Genomic DNA, 24,168 nt, shown 5'->3' with positions numbered 1-24,168 from the left:
CCCTAAAACTTAAAGTATAATTAAAAAAAAAACTTTAAAAAATTTAAAAAAATTACAAGATATACTGAAAGGCAAAAACAAAGCAAAACAAAAAACAACAAAGAAAACACAGTCCAAACAGACAAACCAAACAGCAGAACCCAATTTAGATATGGTGGAGATTTTGGAATTATACTGGGAGATCAAAATGGAAAATATGGACAACATGTGGGAACAGATGGGTAACATAAGCTGAGAAATGGAAACTCTAAGAAATAATCAAAAGAAAATGCTAGCAATAAACAACACTGTAACAGAAATGAAGAGTGCCTTTAATGGGCTCATGAGTAGACTGGATATTTCTATGGAAAAAGAATCAGTGAGCTTGAAAATATGCTCTTAGAAATTTTCAGAACTGAAATGCAATGAGAAAAAAATAAGGAAAATGATGGAAGAGAATATTCAAGAAGTGTGAGACAACTACAAGAGGTGTAACATATAAGTAATGGCATTACCAGAGGAGAAGGAAGAAAGGGAAAGAAGAAGAAATATTTGAAATAGTAATGACTGAGAATTTTCCAAACTTAATGACAGACAGTAAACCAAAGATCCATGAAATTCAAGCTCATGAAGCTCAAATCATGAACATCAAGCAGCATAAATACAAATAGACTATATTTAGGTATATAATATTCAAACTGAGGAAAATCTAGGATATTAGGCATATCATATTCAAACTGAAGAAAATCTGATAAAAGAAGAGAAAACATCTTACCTAGAAAGGAACAAGGATAAAAATTTTATCAGACTTCCCTTCAGAAACCATTTAAGCAAGAAAAGAGTAGAGTGAAATATTTAAAGTGTTGAAAGGAAAAAAGACAACCTAGAATTCTGACTTCAGCAAAGGTAAAGGTAAAATAAAGATTTTCTCAAACCAAAATTGGGGAAATTTTTACTAATAGACGTGCCTTACAAGATATATTAGTATTTTAGGGAAAGGAAAATAACATAGGTCAGAATATTTTATCTGCATAAAGAAAGAGTGTCAGAAAAAGAATAAATTAAAGTGAAATTGAATCTTGTATTTTTTTAAATTGATCTAACTGATAACATTTGTTTAAAACAATAACAACAATATATAGGGTGACTATAGCTTATGGATAAGTGAAATGAATGACACCAATGTTCTAAGGGATGTGAGGGAGAATTGGGAATACTTTATTATAAGATACTCTTACTACCCATGAAGCAATATAGTGGTATTTGAAAATAGACTTCGATTGTGCAAATTACTTTATAATTTGTGTAATATCAATTATCTATTGTTTTAAAAAAGGCAAAATAAAGTATTTCTAAGCCTTCTTCATATTCAAGGCCAAGTCTCCTGATCAGTTTTCAATTCAGTCTCTGATATACACAGTATGGTCCTTCCAGTTATCAATAATATGGTGATGCAATGTATCTTAAAGAAAGTCATAGAAGTAAAACCAAATGGTGCTGGCATTTAACCTGGCTTTGGAATTACTATATGTAGTTAATCTACTTTGGACTCTTCATTTAGGAATTTTGGAATGCTGCTAAACTTGTCTGATGCACCACCTTCTAACTCCTTCCCACATCCATTTGGTTCTTGGGTATAAAATGAGTGGTGCTCTTATTGTGTCCAGGTTTTGCTTCTATACTGCTGAAACCTATTCTATAAGTTTTAATCCATGCACTGTTAATATTTGCACATACAGAGGCAATGATGACTGCTTGACCCTCACATGATACCAATAATTGTAAGATACATTCCAATTTTAGAAATATTAAAATTTAGAAAGAAGTGTTCATTGTAGAATTGATGAAACAAAGTAAATTATTTGGATGACTCCTGTGCTTAAACCTCCTGTATTAATCTGTTTTCTTGCTGCTGATAAAAAGATACCAAAGACTGGGCAATTTACAAAAGAAAGAGGTTTAATGGACTTACAGTTCCACGTGACTGGGGAAGCCTCACAATCATGGTGGAAGGCAAGGAGGAGCAAGTAACATCTTACATGGGTGACAGCAGGCAAAGAGAGAGCTTGTGCAGGGAAAACCCTCCTTATAAAACCATTAGATCTCTTGAGACTTATTTACTATCATGAGAACAGCATGGGAAAGACCTGCCGCCACGATTCAATTACCCCCAACTTGTCCCTCCCACAATACCTGGGAATTCAAGATGAGATTTCAGTGGGGACACAGCCAAACCATATCATTCTGCTCCTGTCCTCTCCCAAATCTCATGTCCTCATATTTTAAAACCAATCATACCTTCCCACAGTCCCCCAAAGTCTTAAATCATATGGGCATTAATTCACCCTAAGTCTACAGTCTGAAGTCTCATCTGAGACAAGGCAAATCCCTTCCACCTTTGAGCCTGTAAAATCAAAAGCAAGTTAGTTACTTCCTAGATACAATGAGGGTACAGGCATTGGGTAAATGCAGCCATTCCAAAGGGGAGACATTGGCCAAAACAAAGGGGCTACAGGCTCCATATGAGTCCAAAATCCAGTGGGGCAATCAAATCTTAAAGCTCCAAAGTAATCTCTTTTGACTCCATGTCACATCCAGGTCACACTGATGCAAAAAGTGGATTCCTATGGTCTTGGGCAGCTCCACCCCTGTGGCTTTGCAGGGTACAGCCTCACTCCTAGCTGCTTTCACAGGCTGGCATTGAGTGTTTTCAGCTTTTCCAGGTGCACAGTGCAAGCTGTTCATGGGTCTACAATTCTGGGGTCTGGGGGATGGTGGCCCTCTTCTCGCAGCTCCACTAGGCAGCACCCCAGTGGGGACTCTGTGTGGGGGCTCCAACCTCACATTTCTCTTCTGCACTGCCCTAGCAGAGGTTCTCCATGAGTGCCCCACCCCTACACCAAACTTCTGCCTGGACATCTGGGTATTTCCATACATCCTCTGAAACCTAGGCAGAGGTTCCCAAACCTCAATTCTCAACACCACGTGGGAGCTGCCAAAGTTTGGAGCTTGTACCTCTGAAGCCACACCCTGAGCTGTACCTTGGCCCATTTTAGTCATGGCTGGAGTGGCTGGGACAAAGAGTACCAAGTCCCTAGGCTGCATACAGCAGAGGGACCCTGGGCCTGGTCCACAAAACCATCTTTTCCTCCTAGACCTCCAGGACTGTAATGGGAGGGGCTGCTGTGAAGACCTCTGACATGCCCTGAAGACATTTTGTTCCTTATCTTGGTGATTAACATTCAGCTTCTCATTACTTATGCAAATTTCTGCAGCCAGTTTGAATTTCTCCTCAGAAAATGGGATTTTATTTTCTATTGCATTGTCAGGCTGCAAATTTTGCAAACCTTGTGCTCCCTTTTAAAACTTTCCCTTTTAAAACTGAATGCCTTTAACAGCAACCAATTCACCTCTTGACTGCTTTACTGCTTAGAAATTTCTTCTGCAAGATACCCTAAATCATCTCTCTCAAGGTCAAATTTCCACAAATCTCTAGGGTAGGGGCAAAATGCCACCAGTCTCTTTGCTAAAACATAACAAGAGTTACTTTGCTCCATTTCCCAACAAGTTCTTCATCTCCATCTGAGACCACCTCAGCCTGGATTTAATTGTCCATATCATTACCAGCATTTTGGTTGAAGCCATTCAACAAGTCTCTAGGGAGTTCCAAACTTTCCCACATTTTTCTTTCTTCTTCTGAGCCCTCCAAACTGTTCCAACCTCTGCCTGTTACCCAGTTCCAAAGTTGTTTCCACATTTTTGGATATATTCTCAGCAGTGCCCCACTCTGCTGGTACCAATTTACTCTATTAGTCTGTTTTCAGGCTGCTGATAAAGACATACCTAAGACTGGGCAATTTACAAAAGAAAGAGGTTTAATGGACTTATAGTTCCGTGTGGCTGGGGAGGCCTCACAATCATGGTAGAAGGCTAGGAGGAGCAAGTCACATCTTACGTGGATGGCAGCAGGCAAAGAGAGAGAGAATTTGTGAAGAGAAACTCCCATTTTAAAAACCATCAGATCTCGTGAAATTTATTTACTATCATGAGAACAGAATGGGAAAGACCTGCCCCCATGATTCAATTATCTCTCACTGGGTCCCTCCAACAACAGATGGAAATTCAAGATGAGATTTCTGTGGGGACACAGCCAAACCAAATCACCTTCCCAGTTGATTGTGTGCTGAGCACTGTGATTTCCCAGTCTGATCTTCTATAAAGGAAGGCTTTGCTGCCCAGCTCCTAGAAGTGCTCAGAGGACAGTCTGCAACTGTCCGTCCATCTGGGGACTTCATAGTTGCAAAGAGACCCCATGTGCCAAGATAATTCCCCTTTCAGAGTGGCCCACATCCACTGACTGATGGAGGTAGGAGTATAAAGGCCTAGCTATATCTGCTCAGCATGTGGCCACTCTTACTGGCTGTGTTAGCTCCCTGTGGGGTTGGCTGAAGATGTTGGATCTTGCAGTCCAACTTCTCACTTAGCCCAATTTTGCCTCCCTCGCTGCTTCCCACAGGTATTAATCCCAAGGACATCCCCTAATAATCCTCTTATATACTGAACTTTATCTTGGAATCTGCTTCCTGGAAAATTCAAAATATTACAGCATTCTATGGCACTTGGAAAAAAGTCAAAACTTTGCTGGGTGCAGTGGCTCACACCTGGAGTCCCAACACTTTGGGAGGCTGAGGCTAGTGGATCACTTATGGCCAGGAGGTTGAGACCAGCCTGGCCAACATGGCAAATACCTGTCTCTACTAAAAATACAAAAATTAGCTGGGGTGATGGGACATGCCTGTAGTCCCAGCTACTTGGGAAGCTGAGGCATGAGAATCACTTGAATCTGGGAGGTGGAGGTTGTAGCACACTGAATTGCAGCCTGGGTGACAAAGTAAGACTCTGTCTCAAAACAAAACAAACAAAAACAAAAAACAAAAACTCAGCAAAACTCTTTCCATAGAACATACAGTTTTCCCCCTACTTCTTAGCTTCATCTCCTGCCACTATCTCCCTGGATTCCCAGGTTCTAGACATACTCACTGCTATGAACTCAATTGTGTCACCCTCGAAATTTAAATGTAGAAGCCCTAACCTTTAATGTGATGGTACTTGGAGATGCGGCCATTGGGAAGGATTAGATTTGGATGAAGTTACCAGGGTGGAGTGCTCATGATGGGATTAGTGCCCTTATAAGAAGAGAAACCAGAAAGCTTACTTCCTCTCTTTCTCTCTGTCAAGTGAGTACACAGCAAGAAGGCAACCATGAGCAAGCCAAGAAGAGAGCCCTCAAGGGGGAACCAAAAGGCTGGCTGGTACCTTGATCTTGGGGTTTCCAGCCTCCAGAATGGTGAGAAATAAATTCCTGTTATTTAAACCGTACCGTTTTCTGGTATTTTGTTACAGCATTCTAAGCTAACATAACACCTGCTTTCTACTTTTTGCAAATGTCAAGCTCATTCTCTCTTCTCCCCTGTTCTTTGCTATGTGTTATTCTTTCTGCTTAAGCACCTCTTAAGTGGTGCTTGTTTAGCAAGATCTCTGACCACCACATTCAAATTAGCACCACTCTCTTATTCTCTTCATAACATTTATAGCACTTATATTAAATCAACCAAATTACCATATTTGAGTATGAATTAATTTGTCACTTATGGGACTGCTTCTCTCACCTCCCTACATAAGAATATCAGTTCCATGAAGGCATGCCATAGCAGCTTAACAAATATTTGTTGAATGAATGAATGAATCATGATTTAGAAAGATGAATACGTATATGCTACCACCACCCCACTTAGTTCTATGTGATCTGAGAGGTCTGAGAAGACTGTTGCTTTAAGCCATGATTCTCTCAGATCTGGCTTGGCTTAGAAGAAGTTATGTACAAGACCTAATCATTAGCTATTTTATTTCTGTCATTGTTGTGAAGTGCTTGCCCAGTTAAGGTTTAAACACCAATTAGAAGATGCTGCAACAGCCATATTGTGAATTTCTCAGGGCAGTCTGAAAATTAACCCAGTATTTGGGGTGGCAGATGTCACTCAAACTGGGTTGTTTATTTAAAGGGCCCTCCTGAAGAAAGCAGTCTGGCCTGAATATCTTTCAGTGTGGATTGGAACGAGTCCTGGCCCTTCTCCTTCTGGTGGTTACTGTTCTGAAAGACATCCAATTGCAGCACTCTACAAATAGTTTAGTGAAAAATGCCGAGAGCATCTCTTTATCTTTATCTTGTGTTCTTGCTAAACTGACTGAGTTCAATATCAGCTTCTGGAAAGCATTCTAATAATCTCCAAAGTGTTTAAGAAGCATTACTCACATTATCACAGAAACATGTCTTGCTCCAGAAATGTATTTACTGTTCTTTTTAGAAACACAGATGCATTGTAGGTAAATAATACAAAACAGTTACTTTCTTGCCAAGGGAAAATGCCGTTTTTGTATTTATCTATTTAAGAAGCAAATGAAATCACTCATGCTGGAGGAAGATGTATGATAGATGAAGATCTTAGACTTGCTCACTTCTTAATCTCTATATTTATTCATAACTATATTTTCAAGTTTATCTTTTTTTGGTTTAACTGTGGAAGTCCTATCTTCTTTTAAGTCAGCCTGGTTTTAACAAACAAAAATATATTATCTTAACTCTTCCATGGTTAGGAGTCATGGCTTCTGTTAATTGACCATCTGGCCGCACGCTAGGAAAAAGGTAAGCTTGTGTAAGTCTTGGAAGGAGGAATTTAAAGTCTCAGCATTTAGAGATTATCTATTACTTTATAAAGTTTTAACTTGTTTGAAATATCAAATTGTGAATGATTACCCTTTGATGAGAGAGAATTTGAATGAATCAACAGTGGCAGCAAAGAGCATGCCTCTTCTTGCTTTCTTCCCTCTATTTCATGATATAACAGCCATACCATTTACAATTAGATGGTCATTTTCAAAACGGCAGTTTTTTTTTTTAGTTTGTTTTCTTGAGACGTAGTCTCTGTCACTAAGGTTGGAGTGTGGTGGTTTGATCATGATGCACTGCAGCCTTGAACTCCTGGGCTCAAGTTGTCCTCCCGCCTCAGCCTTCCTACTAGCTGGTACTACAGGCTGGCACCACCATGCCTGGCTAATTTTTTTTTGTGTATATATATATATATATATATATATATATATCAGATATGGGGTTTCATCATGTTTCCCAGGCCAGTCTTGGACTCCTGAGCTTAAGCAATCCTCTTGATTCGGCCTCCCAAAGTGCTGGTATTACAGGCGTAAGTCACTGCACGTGGCCTAGAATGGCAATGTTTTAAGTATGCTGAATCATTCTTGTTGCACCTCAACTACACGTGCATGATTTAATGTCTCTCCTGTGGTTGAAGCAATTTAACCTTCAAGTTATTGATGGAAATCTACAAAATACTTAACATGAGCCAAGTGCCTGGCCCATGGTATGTACTCAAGAAATGAATATTGAATGAATTTGTCCTACTTCTTCAATTCTGTTTCCAATATTGAAATTGCATGTAAATTCCATTGAGACTCACTGCTCCGGAGGTTAGGGTGGGGAGAGGCATTTTCAATCTGGATCTTCCCAGTATATTTGCCAAAGAGCTCTAAGTGAAGTCAAAGCAGCAGGCTAAGGTAGAAACCCTTGATATTGTTGTTGGATTCATCTTGGATATAAAAGGAGGGGAAAGTAGTTTAATATGGGAGTTCTGCTGATTCTCACAGGGGCTTTTCTCTTCTGTGCATAGGCCTAGAATCTATGGAGACCCAGGTGTATGAGCTGGTTTGAAATGGGTGTGCAGATTTCTGAGCCCGAGGCATTTCTTGTTCTGCTCTGTAGTTTCATAGAGAAAATCCAAGAATGAATCAGTGGGAGGTTTTGAGGTTGATGGAAGCTACATTTTGGGCTCAGCTGTATGAGAGGAGGGAACAGTAAGAATTGCTGGCCCACTGATGTGGTGTTGAATCTGCGTGGCATATGTTATCTGACATCACAATCCTGGAACACTCTTAATGGCTGCCAGAAAAATATAAAATCTAATGGAAAAGTAATCCACTGAACCAGAATGAATCAGCTGTTCATTCCTCCTCTATTGGAATTTATCTTAAAAATGGAAATTAAGCCTGAATTCATATAATTTAGAAACTCAAAGCAAGAAATAGAAAAGCTCTTAAAGGATCATTAATCTGTCCCTCTTGCATATCTAGTTAGTTACATAGATTTTATGAAAGAATTTGGAATATAGATGAATCTTTAACTTACAGTTTTTCTTTTTTGAAGAGATCTATTGCTCTCATCTAAGTGGTTCAATGTTTCATTGACACTCATTAATCTCTGTTACATCCTGTGAGTTAGGTAAGTGGAAAATATTTTTCTTCCACTTGTACAACACAAAGTCCTATGATGAACTCCTCTATGAATTTCCACATTCACCCTCTGGGCTTGGAAGCTAAGTATCCATTAGCTGTGCACTCCACCTCCCTCTTCTTCTCTCTACCTGAATCATGGACAGTTCACTTTTTATGAAAAACTGGTTTTGGCATGGGGTCATGATTAACATATTTGCATGATTATTGCTGGCACAGAGCATGACGGTTAGACATGTGCACTGCATTTACCTCTTGCAAAAGCTGGAATAATGTAAATGGCATATAATCATAAGACTGATATGAAGATTAAGTGGGATTTATAGAAAACATCAAAGTTCCTGGCACATGCTAAGTGTTTCATATAAATGTTCAACAGAAATGCCAATACTAATGGTCTAGAGCTGGCTGTGCTTTCTAAAGATGTTAATTGGGTTTTTAAGTTTTAAGTATTTTTAAAATTATAATGTCTTAATTCAGGCTGCTATAACCCAATACCATGGAGTGGGTGGCTTCAGCAACAGAAATTTATTTTTCATGGTTCTGGAGGCTGGGAAGTCTAAGATCAAGGTGCCAGAAGATCTGGTGTCCTGGTGTGCAGATGGCTGATTCCTTGTATCCTTACAGAATAGAGAGCAGAGAGCTGGAGCAAGCTCTCGAGTATCTTTTTCTAGGGGCATTAGTCCCATTCATGAGAGCTTTACCCTCATGATCTGTGTACCCACTAAGGGCCCCACCTCCAAATTACCATTACATTGAAGATTTGGATTTCAATATATATATTTTGAAGGGACATATTCAGTTCATGTGAAAAGAAGAAATTTCTTCATTTGAATATAATACATAGAAAGGACATTGCAACAATATGAATAGTTTTTTTTTTTTGTTTTTGTTTTTGTTTTTTTTTTTTTGAGATGGAGTCTCACTCTGTTGCCCAGGCTGGAATGCAGTGGTGCAATCTTGACTCACTGCAACCTCCACCTCCCAGGTTCAAGTGATTCTCCTGCCTCAGCCTCCTGAGTAGCTGGGACTACAGGCATGTACCACCATGCCCGGCTAATTTTTGTATTCTTAGTAGAGATGGGGTTTCACCATGTTGGCAAAGCTGGTCTGGAACACCTGACCTTGTGATCCGCCCACCTCAGCCTCCCAAAGTGCCGGGATTACAAGTGTGAGCCACCGTGCCTGGCCATCTCTTTTCTCAATATTATATTGTATTATTTGTCTATTGTCTTTCACCATTTCACATGATCAGTGACTTCCCAAAAATTTCAATTGAAAGGAGTGTGTAGTGAACTTGAGAGTATAGGACAATGAGATATGTAACTGCCTATGTTCCATTGCTACTTTGAGCAGAATCCTCTGGAAACACTATGGAGTGATGGAGAAAGCACCATCTGGGGAGTCAGATGACCTGCTCTCTATCCCAGCTCATCAGGGAGTCTCTGAGACAAACACTTACCAGGTTAGAATTTGAAGCTCTTTATCTGTAAAGTAGAAAAAATGGTAATACTTGCTGTATAAACCTCATGAGGTTGCTGTAATGTCCCAATGAGATAATATATGGGAAAGTACTCTGTAAACTCTAACCATTTTAAAAGTAAAAGCATCACTGTGGGTGGAGACTCATAAGTAGATTCTTCCCAAAAAAGATAGTCAAAAGGTAGCAGTTGTTTTAGAGAATCTTCCACATATGATGACATTATTCACTACTGTCATTTGAAATTTTATGAAACAACAAGTTATTAGTTTCCTGATACATTAAACAATTTTAATCTGTTTTCACTTTATGAGATCCCAACTTTAGTGACCTTTTTAACAAGAAACTTCTATCATATTACGGGAAAAAGTGAGAAATCGAGTTCATAGACTTAAAAAATTGTCATTTTAGCTAACTCTGAATGCAGATGTACAGGAGACATTGCAGTTTAAGTTTCCCAATACCTAGCATTAGAGAGTAAAAATTTAGACCAAATTCCTAGACAGTATGTCAATAATGAATAAAGCTTGATTCCTTTTTTTTTTTTTTTGAGACGGAATCTCACTCTGTTAGCCAGACTGGAGTGCAGTGGCACGATCTTGGCTCATTGCAACCTCCACCTCCCGGGTTCAAGCGATTCTCCTGCCTCAGCCTCCCAAGTAGCTGGGACTACAGGCACATGCCACCACGTCCAGCTATTTTCTACTAAAAATATAAAGCTTGATTCTTAACTGAATAATGTATAACAGTGTTAGAACACACAGATGACTATGTTAGGATTAATAAATGATGTTGAATTATCAGACTGCAAAACAAATTGCTGTGATTTTTGGAGACACAAATGTCATTAGCTTGTACATGTTAGAAATAATGTACATATATATATCATGCTTTCATTCAACAAACATTTTTCTGATCACGTTCTTTATGGCAGGCACTGCGTAAGTCCTAGGGAGACAAAGGAATACATAGTACCGTCCCTCTATTTTGGTGGTTTTAACCAAGGTAAATCATGGTGTATTTTTAAAAAATCGTATACACTTCTAGGATTCAGATTCAGTAGCCCTGCAGTGCGAACTGGGAAAGTAGAGTAAGAAACACATCACTCATAATAGAAACAGCTTCCCTGAGGTTTTGATGTGTCACTCTGGTTAATAATCACCAATCACCACCACTAATAGGTGTGGAGAGACACAGCGTGGTAAAAACAATTTCTGAGATGTGGAAAGGATATTAGGGAATCCCAAGTAGGGACATTTCATGTGTCCTCAGAAGGAGCTGAGTAGGGACGGATTCTGGGAAAGGTGACTCCTAACCTTTCCAATATTTTTTCTAATCACAAACCTAATGCAGTAAACCAATGAAGAACACAAGAAGCAAAAATCATCCATTATTTACAGTTTTGATATTCTTAAATTTTGCTATTACATATATAGAGTGAATTTTCTTTTCTTAACTATTCCATTTTTAATTGTATAGATTTTTGAATTTAAGGTCTTTAATCACTCTGTCATTCAGGGAAATATGTCATAATTACCTTCAAGTATTTCTCTCATCTATTTCTTTGTTATTTCTGGGATTTCTATTATGTATATGTTGGCATCAACATATTGTTTATAGATTCTGGAATTTATTCATTTATTGCATTATGTTTTCAGCTATCGTATTCAGTCTAAGACGGGATAAGAGATGAATATTCGATATTCAGTATTTCTACTTGGCTTTTCTTTTCGGCTTTGAGTTCCTGTTTCATATGACCACTAACCTGTTCTATTAGTTTGAGAATTTAATTCTTATTCTTATTCTTACATTATGTAATAAAGCTCTTCTTTATAGTAAATGCACTTGGTATTAGTTATACATTGCTACAAACAAATTAATGACAAATTATCTTAAAATTTAGTGGGTTTAAGAAACAGTAATTTTTTTTTCCTTTTCATGATTTCTGTGGGTCAGGAATTCAGACACTGTACAGGGAGATAACTTGTTTCTACTCCACCTTGTTGGAGACCCCAGCTGGAAGGCTTGAAGCTTGGGGACTAAAATCATGTGAATTGCATTCACTTGCATTTCTGGTGGTTGGTACAGGTGTTACCTGGAGGCCTAGCTGGGGCTGTTTACAAGAATCCACATGTGACCTCTCTATGTGGCTTCAGATTCCTCACAACACGGTGAGACTCCGTGGATGGGCGTATGGTGCAATTTGTTGAGGGAAAGAGAGAGAACGAGAGAGAGAGAAAGAGAGAGAGAGAGAAGGAACGAACCCGGCAGAATTGTATTCCTTTCTTTTTTTTTTTTTTTTTTTTTTTTTTTAAAAAGAAACAGGCTATTGCTATGCTATGTTGCCCAGGCTGGTCTGGAACTCCTGTCCTCAACTGATCCTCCCATTATGCCCCCAACCTCCGCCTATGTAGTTGGGATTGTAGTCTATAGACCTGTACCTGTGTTCTTGTCTTGACCTAGCCTTGCAAGTCACATAGCCTCACTTTTGTTCTACTCCATTGTTTGATGTAGGCAGGAGTCTGCCCAAATTCAAGAGGAAAGAACATAGACCACATATCTTGGTGGGAGGGATGTCAATTACATTGTAAGATGAGCATATGGGAATGCATAAATATATAGGTGTGTGCATCTTTGTAAAACACAATTGTTCACATATTCCTTATTGTCTAGCTATTTTTGCCTATGAGCTCAGCTTCCCCTGAGGCTATAACTATACTTTCTGTAATATGTAAGGAGGTGTGGTGAACCTAAGTGCTAGCTTGTACGTCTTTTGGTGAGTTTAAGGAAAAAAAAAAACAGAGATGCGCTCTTTCTTTTTGTACAGGTGGAAGTTTCCAGAAGATTACTCTTTTGTTTTCCTGTAAGAGATTCTCATAGATTAGTACTTTGGATTCAAGGTTTCTCCTTTCAATACTATTTGCTTCATAATTAAAACATTTTCAGAAGAATTCAACAGTCCAAGCTAGTTCTTTGTCTGTTGGGAACCAGAGGTTACCCATTATCCTTATTTTTCTAAATAGTTTGGAATTTTAGTTTTGTTTTCTTCTTTGCCCTAGGAATTATTTAGTACAGTGTGGTTTTGTTTTCTAAAATTTTCGATTGGATTTCAAAATGTATACTTTAAAAGCTTTTCTTTTTAAAAAAATTTATTAAACTTTAAGTTCTGGGATACATGTGCAGAACGTGCTGATTTGTTACATAGGTATACATGTGCCACGGTAGTTTGCTGCACCCATCAACCTGTCATCTAAGTTTTAAGCCCCACATGCATTAGGTATTTGTCCTAATGCTCTCCCTCCCCTTGTCCCCTACCCCGCAACAGGCCCCTGTGTGTGATGTTCCCTTCCCTGTGTCTATGTATTGTCATTGTTCAACTCCCACTTATGTGTGAGAACATGCAGTGTTTGGTTTTCTGTTCCTGTGTTAGTTTGCTGAGAATGATGGTTTCCAGCTTCATCCATGTCCCTGCAAAGGATATGAACTCATCCTTTATTATGGCTGCATAGTATTCCATGGTGTATATGTGCCACATTATCTTTATCAAGTCTGTCATTGATAGGCATTTGGGTTGGTTCCAAGTCTTTGCTATTGTGAATAGTGCTGCAATAAACATACATGTGCATGTGTCTTTATAATAGAATGATTTATAATCCTTTGGATATATACCCAGTAATGGGATTGCTGGGTCAAATACTATTTCTGGTTCTAGATCATTGGGAATGGTCACACTGTCTTCCACAATGGTTGAACTAATTTACGCTCCCAACAACAGAGTAAAAGTATGCCTATTTCTCCACATCCTCTCCAGCATCTGTTGTTTTCTGACTTTTTAATGATTGCCATTCTGACTGGCGTAAGATGGTATCTCATTGTGGTTTTGATTTGCATTTCTCTAATGACCAGTGATGATGAGCTTTTTTTCATATGTTTGTTGGCCGTGTAAATGTCTTCCTTTGAGAAATATCTGTTCATATTCTTTGCCCACTTTTTGATGGGGTTGTTTGTTTTTTTCTCGTAAATTTGTTTAAGTTTGTTATAGATTCTAGATATTAGCCCTTTGTCAGATGAATAGATTGCAAGAATTTTCTCCCATTCTGTAGGTTGCCTGTTCACTCTGATGATAGTTTCTTTTGCTGTGGAGAAGCTCTTTAGTTTAATTAGATCCCATTTGTCAATTTTGGCTTTTGTTGCAATTGCTTTTGGTGTTTTAGTCATGGAGTCTTTTCCCATGCCTATGTTCTGAATGGTATTGCCTAGGTTTTCTTCTAGGGTTTTTATGGTTTTATGTTTTATGTTTAAGTCTTTAATTTACCTTGATTTAATTTTTGTATAAGGTGTAAGGAAGCGGTCCAGTTTCAGTTTTCTACATATGGCTAGCCAGTTTTCCCAGCACCATTTGTTAAATAAGGAATCCGTGCTTGTTTTTGTCAGGTTTGTCAAAGATCAGATGGTTGCAGAAGTGTGGTGTTATTTCTGAGGCCTCTGTTCTCTTCCATTGGTCTATATATCTGTTTTGGTACCAGTACCATGCTGTTTTGCTTACTGTAGCCTTGTAGTATAGTATGAAGTCAAGTAGTGTGATGCATCTAGCTTTGTTCTTTCTGCTTAGGATTTTCTTGGCTATATGGGCTCTTTTTTTGGTTCTATGTGAAATTTAAAGTAGTTTTTTCGAGTTCTGTGAAGAAATTCAATAGTAGCTCAATGGGAATAGCATAGAATCTTTTTTTTTTCTTTTAGCAATCTACATGTTATTGTATTTTTTATCGTATGACTTTGGTCCCATTGCCATAACTGTTTGGACTAGAGGTGTCTGAAACTAACTCATAAATTTATAGACTGAATACCAATCTATATGGTGGCATGAAAAATAAAATGAGTTGAGCCAATTTATCTCTTTTGCAAGTATGAACTAAGAAAATCTAAGTAAATAATCCAGATAGCCTTGCAATAGTTGGTTGAAAATTCATAAAGAAGAATCAGAACTCTATCAGTTTTGATGTGGTGCCTTACAGACTAAGTAAAGAGGAAACAGAATGTAAGAGTAAGTAGAGGACACCAGTTGGTAACTAAAGGTCATACTGCACGACAGAGAACTTGCCACCTGTGTAGAAGGTAGAACAAGTAAGATTAATAGCATTGTCTCAGTTACTGGTGTCATTACGGTCCAACACCATGAAAATGCTTAATATAAGCATTTATTTTTAATTTATTTACTTTACTTACACATTTGTTCGTTTATTTTCTTGACATAATTTCTTGAGATAAGATTTTGTTACAACTAAAAGAATGTAGTCTGAAGGCTTAATAGAAGTTTTTCTTTATTTTATATGTTTGGTTCTCTTAGGGAGGGTGTGGTGATTAGATACCCATGCTCATTTCTTCTGCTTTTGTGAAGGTTACCTGAGAAGTGGCATGCATGCTTGAAGGGTAGATGGGAGAATATTTAGGCAAGGAAAGTAGTGGCGAGAAAGGCACAAAAGCAAGAAGCAGCAGGATATGCCTTGGCAATTAAAGCATTATGGTGTTTTGTGAATATGAATTAAGCAAATAGCAGGAAGAAATGAGTTATTCTGCCTCCATGTAAAGCAGAATAATGTTTTGAAGTGGTTTGTGTTTTGTTCTTGCTGATATTCAGAGATACAAATTAGATGCATTTTCCTTCCCCTCTCCATCCAGTTAGCTCATTCCTTTGTTCGTTCCTTCCTCCAACAACTGTGTCACTCTCCACCCATTTCCCCACTCCTATAACTTCTCCATCCCTTCTTTCACTACCTCCTCCCATGCAGCCTACAAACCATCTCATTTACCTCACTTAAAAATCAAGAAAAAAGAACATTCCTTTCTCTCTATTCTACTACTTCATTTTACACCTTTTGGTCTTCACCAAACACATTGAAAAAAATGGTCTAGACTCACTTTGTCTCTTCCCAATCAACCATTAACCTGCAATCAAGTTTCTGACTCTATGACTTAAAGCACTTGACACATTGTATTATAGTTTATTTTATCCCCTGCTAGACAGTGTGTGCCTTAGAGGCATGGAGGACTGTCTCTCAGCATACGTAGTATCTGGCACAAAATGTGTACTTAAGAAAATCAACAAACATTGTATGATGAAGCCTGATTCATTCTTCACTTAAGCTTACAAAACTAAATTTATATTTCCTTGGCTTAGATGGTGACAGAAATGCAATACATCCTTTTCTAGGTTTATTTTATGTATCTATATTGTACTTTATTTTTCTTAAAATTCAGTAGGATTGTCTGCCCCTCTGTCTGTCTGTCTGTGTATCTTTCTGTCTGTATATACTTACCTACCTACCTTCCTGTCATGTATCTATCATCTAAAAATGATAGGTTATACATCCATGTTTATTTAAACCCTGAATTTTTATCAAGTTTACATAAATTGTCTTAATAATTGTATACTCTGATGATTCTCAACCCAAGGTAATTTGTACTACAGATTCAGGTAGATGGTACTTTCCCATGAAGATAGTTCCCATTAATGCAGGGATAGAGCACCAGCATCACACAGGCCAAAGTGGCTCAGGAGGTTGGACAGAACATAGTAACCACTTGCTATTCCTGCACAAAGTGTTTGTGTCACATTATTTCATCTGTAGTTTGTGTCACATTATTTCATCTCTAAAAAGAAGATACTGCTAATCTTCTTTTAGCAGTTTTAGGGGGCCAGGTGCAGTGTAATCCCAGCAATTTGGGAGGCTGAGGTGGGAGGATTGCTTAAGCCCAGAAGTTCACGACTACACTAGGCAACATAGGAAGACCTCATCTCTACAAAAAATTTTAAAAATCGGGCATTTTGGTGCCTGCCTATAGTCACAGCTACTTGGGAGGCTGAGGCAAGAGGATTGCTTGTGCCCAGGAGGTGAAGGGTGCAGTGAGTTGTGACTATACCACTGCCCTCCAGCCTGGGCAACAAAGTGAGACCCTATCTCAAAAACAAAATCAAAGAGAAGATTGTACGTGGTACCAATAGCAAAATAAATAAAGATGTTCCTTATCTGGAGATATTTTTCTAGTAGGAACACATACATAAGCATATCACCAGAAAAATGTACACACAATAATTTGGGGGTTGTGTCCTCCACCAAACAATTGTTGAAGTTATTATGAGATCTTGAATGAGATGCAGTTTATCTGGAAAGACTCTATTGAAGAGGTCAATTTTAAGTCATGTAAAGTGTTTGCATCTTTATTCAAGAGAAGGAGCGCCTGACGTTGAAGGAGGGAAAGGACTTTAGGATAGAGAGAAAGGTATGTTAGCTCACAATGAAAGTGAGCAAGCTGGTAGACAGTTTTGATGTTGCCAGTTATTGTTGGTAAGAAGGAGTTCTCGATCATTTCTTAGCTGAGAAAAAAGTCCTGAAAATGAGTAAACACTGACAGGCAGAAAGTTTGAGTCTTGAAATACAATTACATATATAAGACTGAAAAGGAAAAGAAATAGGCTGGGCGTGGTGGCTCACGCCTGTAATCCCAGCACTTTGGGAGGCTGAGGCAGGTGGATCAAGAGGTCAAGAGATCGAGACCATCCTGGCCAACATGGTGAACCCTTGTCTCTACTAAAAATACAAAAATTAGCTGGGCTTGGTGGCGTGCCCTGTAGTCCCAGCTACTCAGGAGGCTGAGGTGGGAGAATCACTTGAACCCAGGCAGTGAGCCAAGATCATGCCATTGCACTCCAGCCTGGCAATAGAGCAAGACCCCATTAAGAAAAAAGAAAGAAAGAAAGAAAGAAAGAAAGGAAGGAAGGAAGGAAGGAAGGAAGAAAGAAAGAAAGGAAAGAAAGGTACGTATGTGACATAGCCCATGACCATGAAGAAGAATAACGATGTAATGAAGTTTTATGTTTGTGATCTAATTGTGATGCTCATGGGGACATTGGGCTGGGTCCTGACAAAACCTTTGTATCTGATAACAAAATGAATGGACAAGACATTAAAGTAGAGATGTTATTTAGAAAACCAAATGTGTCATCCTATAAGACAGAAAGAGAGAAGGAGACCAAGAGAGATAGATAATAGTATTTGGGAAATTCTTATTTTAAAAATAATATTGAACAAAATGGGTAACTGAGTTACTTCAGAGAAAGAGAATGGGAGGGAAAAATGAGCATCTTGCAGCAACACCACAGGGACTAGGCTCTTTTCTTTCTAGGAAAGTCAGTAAAAGGCCCCACAGTAAATGGTTTTCTTGAAGTTTGCTGAGGTTTCTTAAAACAGTTGTCTTCAATTCTTTGAGTGATCACACATCTCCATTATTGTAGGATAGCGCTTTAGTGCGTTATTGCCCATCTGGTGAGGTCACATTTCCCTGAATGTTCTTGAGACTTGTGGACATGTGACAATGTCTACACGTTGAAGGATTAGGTATTTATTTGAGTCTTCATGGTTTGTCTTTGTGCCTGTCCTTGTTCAGAGGGCCTCCAGGGATTCTAATCAGACTGATTTGTGTTTCCTGAGGCCAAGATCATTATTGCAGTCATCACAGCACTAGAGGATACCCCTTGCCCAGCCTTGCTGAGAGCCTTGAGAAGGCTCTGGGGTTGATGTGACTTTCTGCTCAGGTGGACTCGAGGAAGATGCAAAGAGGGTACTGGGGCTGTATGGGAACACTGACCAAGGTCCTGAGTCTAGAAGACTGCCCTGGTTGTTCAGACAGGTGTGCTTCCCAGCAGATGTCTGCACAGGCAGATGGGTCCCCAATTGCAGTGAGAGCAGCCAGAGCTGAGATTGCTTGACAAAAATGTCACGCCCAGAGACCAACAGGAACCTAACCCTATTTTCCCCTTGGAGCAAAGCTTCAGTATTCACTAATTCAGTGTTGGTGACAACTTTATAGAACATAACTACCATAAATAATGAGAATTGACTATAAATGGACAAGTATTAAAATCAAACATCAAGCTGAATACAGATATTTTCGGATTTAAAACTCTAGCTATGAAGTGGTAATTATATTAAATACAATGTAAATTGGATTTAAAAACAGTTTCACTATTAATAATATACTTTGCAGAAACAGACAACTGTAAGTTTGCTGAAAAAGAAAAGCAAATTAAATCCCAGTTTTAATTTGTTTTTTGTAAAAGAGGAATTTTCTTTACCTTTTTAATATGTTTCTTAATTGAAACATATTTACTCTCAAAACAGCAGCAAGCTATCCAGGTTGCTATTCTAGACTTGCTATTTCTATCTTTAAAATGAGAAGTGAATAAAAATTAAACAAATTGTTGTTCAGCTAATAAACAATTAAGGAAGAAATAAAGTAAGGTAGGAATGAAGGAAGGAAGGAGGGAGAAAGAATAGACATAACACAAAGGAAAGCTTTCTGCTGGGCTCCCACCTCAAATTATTTTAATTTTTATTCACTTCTCATTTTAAATATTAGGCAAATATTGTGTGGATTTTTTCCCTTCAAATTCAAGACATATTTACAGAGTCAAAATACCATGAGATCAAACACCTGCAGCCCAGCACTGTAACTATTTTAAATCAAGAGAAGCACAAACCTGGAGAGCAGAGAAACCTGCTTTAAATCTGAGAGATAGCAGACAGCATTCCAACAGGACCACTGGGTGTCATTTTATCTACAGGGAAGTTTCGTCCAAGTGCTGTACATCATTCTGCTTTAGGAAAAGGGGAAAAATGTACAGAAGCACATGCAAGGATTGTAGCCACACCTCCTCCCCATGCAGGACACCACCACCCCTTTAACCAATCCCTTCTCCATTTTCTCTTATTTTAATTTTACTGTCATTGCTCTGCCCTCTGGGAATGAGGAAATCCAGGAGGATTCACAGGGATTCTAAGCCAGGGAAGGCTTTTTGCTTCTGTCTCAGGGAGCTGGTACTTCCTGGCTGATGTCCTCCTCAGGGTGAGAGGCAGCAATTGTATTTTCTCCTCCAAGGTCTGGGTGAATGTGGCATTTCAATTTGCTGGTATGACCCCCACCCTGTCCCTGATAAGGGTTGTCACCTGTGCTTGATGTCCTTCCCAGAACAAATGAGAACATGTAAGGGGGAGACACCAAGGAAGATGTTGGAGGAGAAGGCCAGATTCCTCATTTATTTATATGATATTAAAAAAAAAATTAAACCTTTGATTGTCTCCACTAATATAACTGCTCTGAAGCCCTGTGCCAGAGCTACTTATAGCCTCTGAGCATGGGTGTTGTCTTTGTTGGTCCCTCGATGCCCAGAAAAGACAGAGGAAATTGGTTCACTGCTCCTGAGGCTGCTCTAGCCCTTCCTCTTAGCCACAGGTGGGGCTGGACTTTTCTCACCTCTCTTGTGACTCCTCAAGTGGTGGGCTCCTGCCTCCTCTCAGGTATCCCATCTGTTTCAGTGCCCTGCCTGTTGCAAGCCTCCTGGCCCATGCTGGCCAGTTCTTCTCTTGTCAGGGAAGTTAGAGAAAGAAGCCACCTTCCTGCCCTCCTGCGTGTGGTGTGAAGAGAGGTGCCTTACAAGCAAGTGCCTTCATGGTGAGGATAAGCTCACAGGCTCAAGGAAGAAACACAATTGTAAGAACAACAATGGGGAAAAGGCAGGATCCAAGTATTTTGGTGAGTATAAAAGGCTACCTTAAAATAACTATCCACCTACCCATGCAGAGTGGAGTGTAGACACAGAAACCAGGACAAAAACTGTTCACAGGGTGCCCTAGGCAAGGAAGGAAGCAGTTCAACCCGGGAGAAGGTAGGAGAGGGAATCTGGACAAATGATATTGTGAATGCCAAGATTATTGAGTGGACACTCAGCCAGGACTGATAGCTGAAAAGAGATGATTTGGGGACTTACAGAACTACTGTAGAAACAGAATCAGGTGATTGTCCAGAGTGACTTAAAATAAGGAGTCCCTAAGTGAGGACTCAGATGAATAAAGCAGTATTTTAATTACTCTCTTAGAATGGCCTATTTTTATGTAAAAATATGCTATATTTTCCCCCATGCCTCTGGTGAAACAGTTTGTGCTATAATCAGAATATCTAGCCTGAAAATAGTTTGCTATTCATGGCTACGCTATGAGATGGGATGTAGGTATAATGACCATTTCTTATTTTCAGGAAGCCTCAGTTTGTAATATTCTGGCCCTAAAAAAGAAAACATGTTTATCTAGCATGGTTTTTGATTTGGTACATCAGAATATGTGACCTATATATGGAGCATAAAAGAGAATAATAGTATTTCCAGAATCACAGTCGCAAGAAAGAGCTTCAAGACTCAGTGTGGCACCTGGAAAGCTGAGTCACGATGCTGTTGGTGTGGGCTCACACCTTGTGTGCACAGTGCACATGGCCATGTCTTGCCTCCAGCGGCAGAAGGCCTCATACTGTGTGGGGGGCACACAGCGGGTTGGGGGGGTTGCTCCACAGAGTAAAGAAAAGGCTCTTACCAGATGGAGAGCAGATTTCAGATGAAGATGACCCAATTAGCCTTGATTCCAGCATGTGCACAGATGCTATGACTGAAATAAAGTAGGAAGTGGCACTGGTGAAATGTTGCATAATGAAATACATAGGTTTTTATTAAAGAAAAATGTTGAGATTTTAAAAGGCTTTTAAAAAAGGCTTTTAAGGCTCGCCCCAATCGTGTGAGGCTTTTCCAAAAGGCTTTCCTTATTGATTAAAATGTAGCCTCCAGAATCCTACTCAATGCCCGAGTTCACATCTCAGCTTTATCACTCTGACCTTGGGCACGTTATGCATCCTCACTGCTCCTCAGTTTCTCATGTGTATACTATTGGTGTGATTATACCTAGAAAACAATTGGCACAGTGGCTTGGCACAGAAAAGACTTTCATCTAGTGTTAGTTATAATTATTTATGTATAAAACTAAATATGGAGAAAATTCACTTATTGTCTTCTCTTCCAATTGTTATTAATATGTTGACATCTTATTTTCTTATATATTTATTTGAGAAGGGTGTGATTCGAGATTTTTGTTTCCTTAAAGATACTTTGGTGATAACCAACTTAACTGCTAGTGCATAAATGGATCCTTGTGTAAGTGTGACTGCATGTTCATGATTGTGTAAATGAGTGATGGCTCTGGGTGTGTGTGCATGGTTGGATGAGTGTGTAAATCTGTGAGTGTATGAACCTGTGTGTATATACTGATAGATGTTGTATAAGTTTTCCGTGTGTATATACTGATAGATGTTGTATAAGTGTGTATAAACTGATAGATGTATAAGTTTGCTATAACAAATTACCACAAAGTTGGTGGCTTAAAGCAACAGAAATTTATTCTCTCACAACGCTGGAGGCCGAACCCTGAGATCAGTGTCACTGGGTTGCAGTCAAGGTGTTGGCAGGGCAGCACTCCATGTAGAGGCTCCAGGGGAGAATCTAATCCTTGCTCTTCCAGCTTCCGGGGACTGTGGGCAGTCCTTGAGTTGTGGCCACATCACTCCTGTCTCTGCCTCTGTCTTCACATGGCCTTGTCTTTTCTGTGTGTATGTGTGAAATCTCTTCCTGTCTCTCTCTTCTGAAGACACTTGACTTGTGATGCCATTTAGGGCCTATCTGGATAATCCAGGATAATTTCCCCCTCATCAGGTTATTAGTAATGTTAGCAAAGACCCCTTTTCCAAGTAAGGTAACAGGTACCAGGGGTTAGGACCTGATATCTTTGGGGGGGTTGCATTTTTCAGCCCACTATAGGTGTCTATGTTTATGTACATATGTGTGTATGGGGGCATATGGATGTGTACATATGTGAGTATGTACAGGTATATGTGTGATTGGTATGTGTGTGTATGCATGTGTGAGCGTATGTAAACATGTGAGTGTAGGTGTATATATGCGTATGTGTGATGGGTGTATGTGCATGCATGTGGGCCATTGGTGTGTATATATGCATGTGTGTGTGTATATATGCATGTGTATATGCATGTGTGTGTGGGCTATGGATGTGTATATGTACATGTATATACATGCATGTGTTTCTGCATTATGGGTGTGTGTTGGTATATAAATATGCATATGTGTAAGTATATGCGTGTATATATGTATGTGAATGAGTGATGGGTATGTACGTATATGTATATTTTTTATGGAAAGTAGGTTATCTGTCTGACCTTTGCCTAAAATATTTTATTACAGTTCTGAAATAATCAGTTGGAAGTATATTGTAATGAACCAGTACTCTCTTAACAGATGGTCAAATAAACACAATGTTTCTACCTTCCCAGAAATCATCTTAAGTACAAAATTGTTATGGTTTATGAGAAGAGAGCAACCCTGTTTAAATGCTAGTAAACAAGCAAGCACATACCTCTCTTACCTCTGTCTGAACCTCAGAAAGAGGACCCAAGTGGGAGTTCAATTTAATGAAAAATGCATTAGGAGCCATCCTGATGGCAAGGAGGATCTATTACTCATTTTAATCTCAGCCAACCAGGTAGATAGGCACTGGTCCATGAACCCTGGCTATGAAAAAAATGAGAGAAGGCTTAATGAAAGCCAGACAGTGGCCCTAAATGAGAGGTTTCAAGCTTTCTTTTTTTCTGCATTTAAAATCTGTCTGTGGAAATCACATTTGGGTTTTATGAGGACTGGAAGGTGTTATAATCTGCTTTGGAGTTTGGCATAAGGAAGAGACTAGGAAAGAGAGAGCCATGGTTAATTGCACTAGGGCAACTTTTAAAAGGCCTAATATGAATTTATATATGTTATCATATTATACATATGTTTTCAATAATTATTGTAAATATCTATATATGCTATAGAAATGGAAAAGAGGGCCTATTCAATGGTGTGCAGGCACTATGTTAGTTACCATGGAGATGACTAAGGTAATGAAGTAATGGTATCCACCTTGGTCAGTTAACAGTCTCTTTCTGGAATATAAATGGAGGCAGGGTGTATGGGAAGAGAAGTACATATAGGGCAATTTGGAGGAGGGACAGAGCCTATGGGAAGGGGATCTAGGCTGCATTCATGGCAGCTGGTACATCATCAGGGCTTCGATACATGACTGAGAAGCCAGTTGATAGGGAGGATCAGAACTAATTGTACCATAGCAAAGATAGGAAAATGCAGGGCATACTGGAATAACACCTAATCCAATTTTTCTGGAGCATAGGCTACCTGTTGAACAGGATTTCTCCACCTCAGTCATACTGATATTTTGAATTGGATAATTCTTTGATGTAGGAGGCTATTCTGTACATTGTAGGACATTAAGCAGCATCGTGGGCCTCTACCCACTAGATGCCAGAAGCACCCACCTTCCAGCTCCCCAACTGCCCATGTTATAATAGATAAAAATTCTCCAGACATTATCAAATGTCTCCTGAGGGCCAAAATGGGCCCTATTTTA

The 24,168-nt window shown here is 39.1% G+C and overlaps 1 long non-coding RNA gene across 2 annotated transcripts in view; it reads left to right on the top strand.

Moving 5' to 3' along the window:
- The first annotated feature begins 5,227 nt into the window (after window positions 1–5,227).
- LOC107984620 (uncharacterized) overlaps window positions 5,228–24,168 on the top strand; it is a 41,289-nt gene continuing 22,348 nt past the window's right edge. The window contains exons 1-3 of one of the 2 annotated variants that reach the window (XR_001749917.1): window positions 5,228–5,326; window positions 6,634–6,682; window positions 9,694–9,802. This is a non-coding gene — a long non-coding RNA (uncharacterized LOC107984620). The remainder of the gene's footprint in view (window positions 5,327–6,633; window positions 6,683–9,693; window positions 9,803–24,168) is intronic. The other variant, XR_001749918.1, reaches the window with a different exon arrangement.

Source organism: Homo sapiens, chromosome 13 (assembly GCF_000001405.40).
Source record: "Homo sapiens chromosome 13, GRCh38.p14 Primary Assembly".
Taxonomy (NCBI): Eukaryota; Metazoa; Chordata; class Mammalia; order Primates; family Hominidae; genus Homo; species Homo sapiens.
Note: the sequence above shows the minus strand (reverse complement) of the source record. Positions and strands in the feature narration are given on the sequence as shown.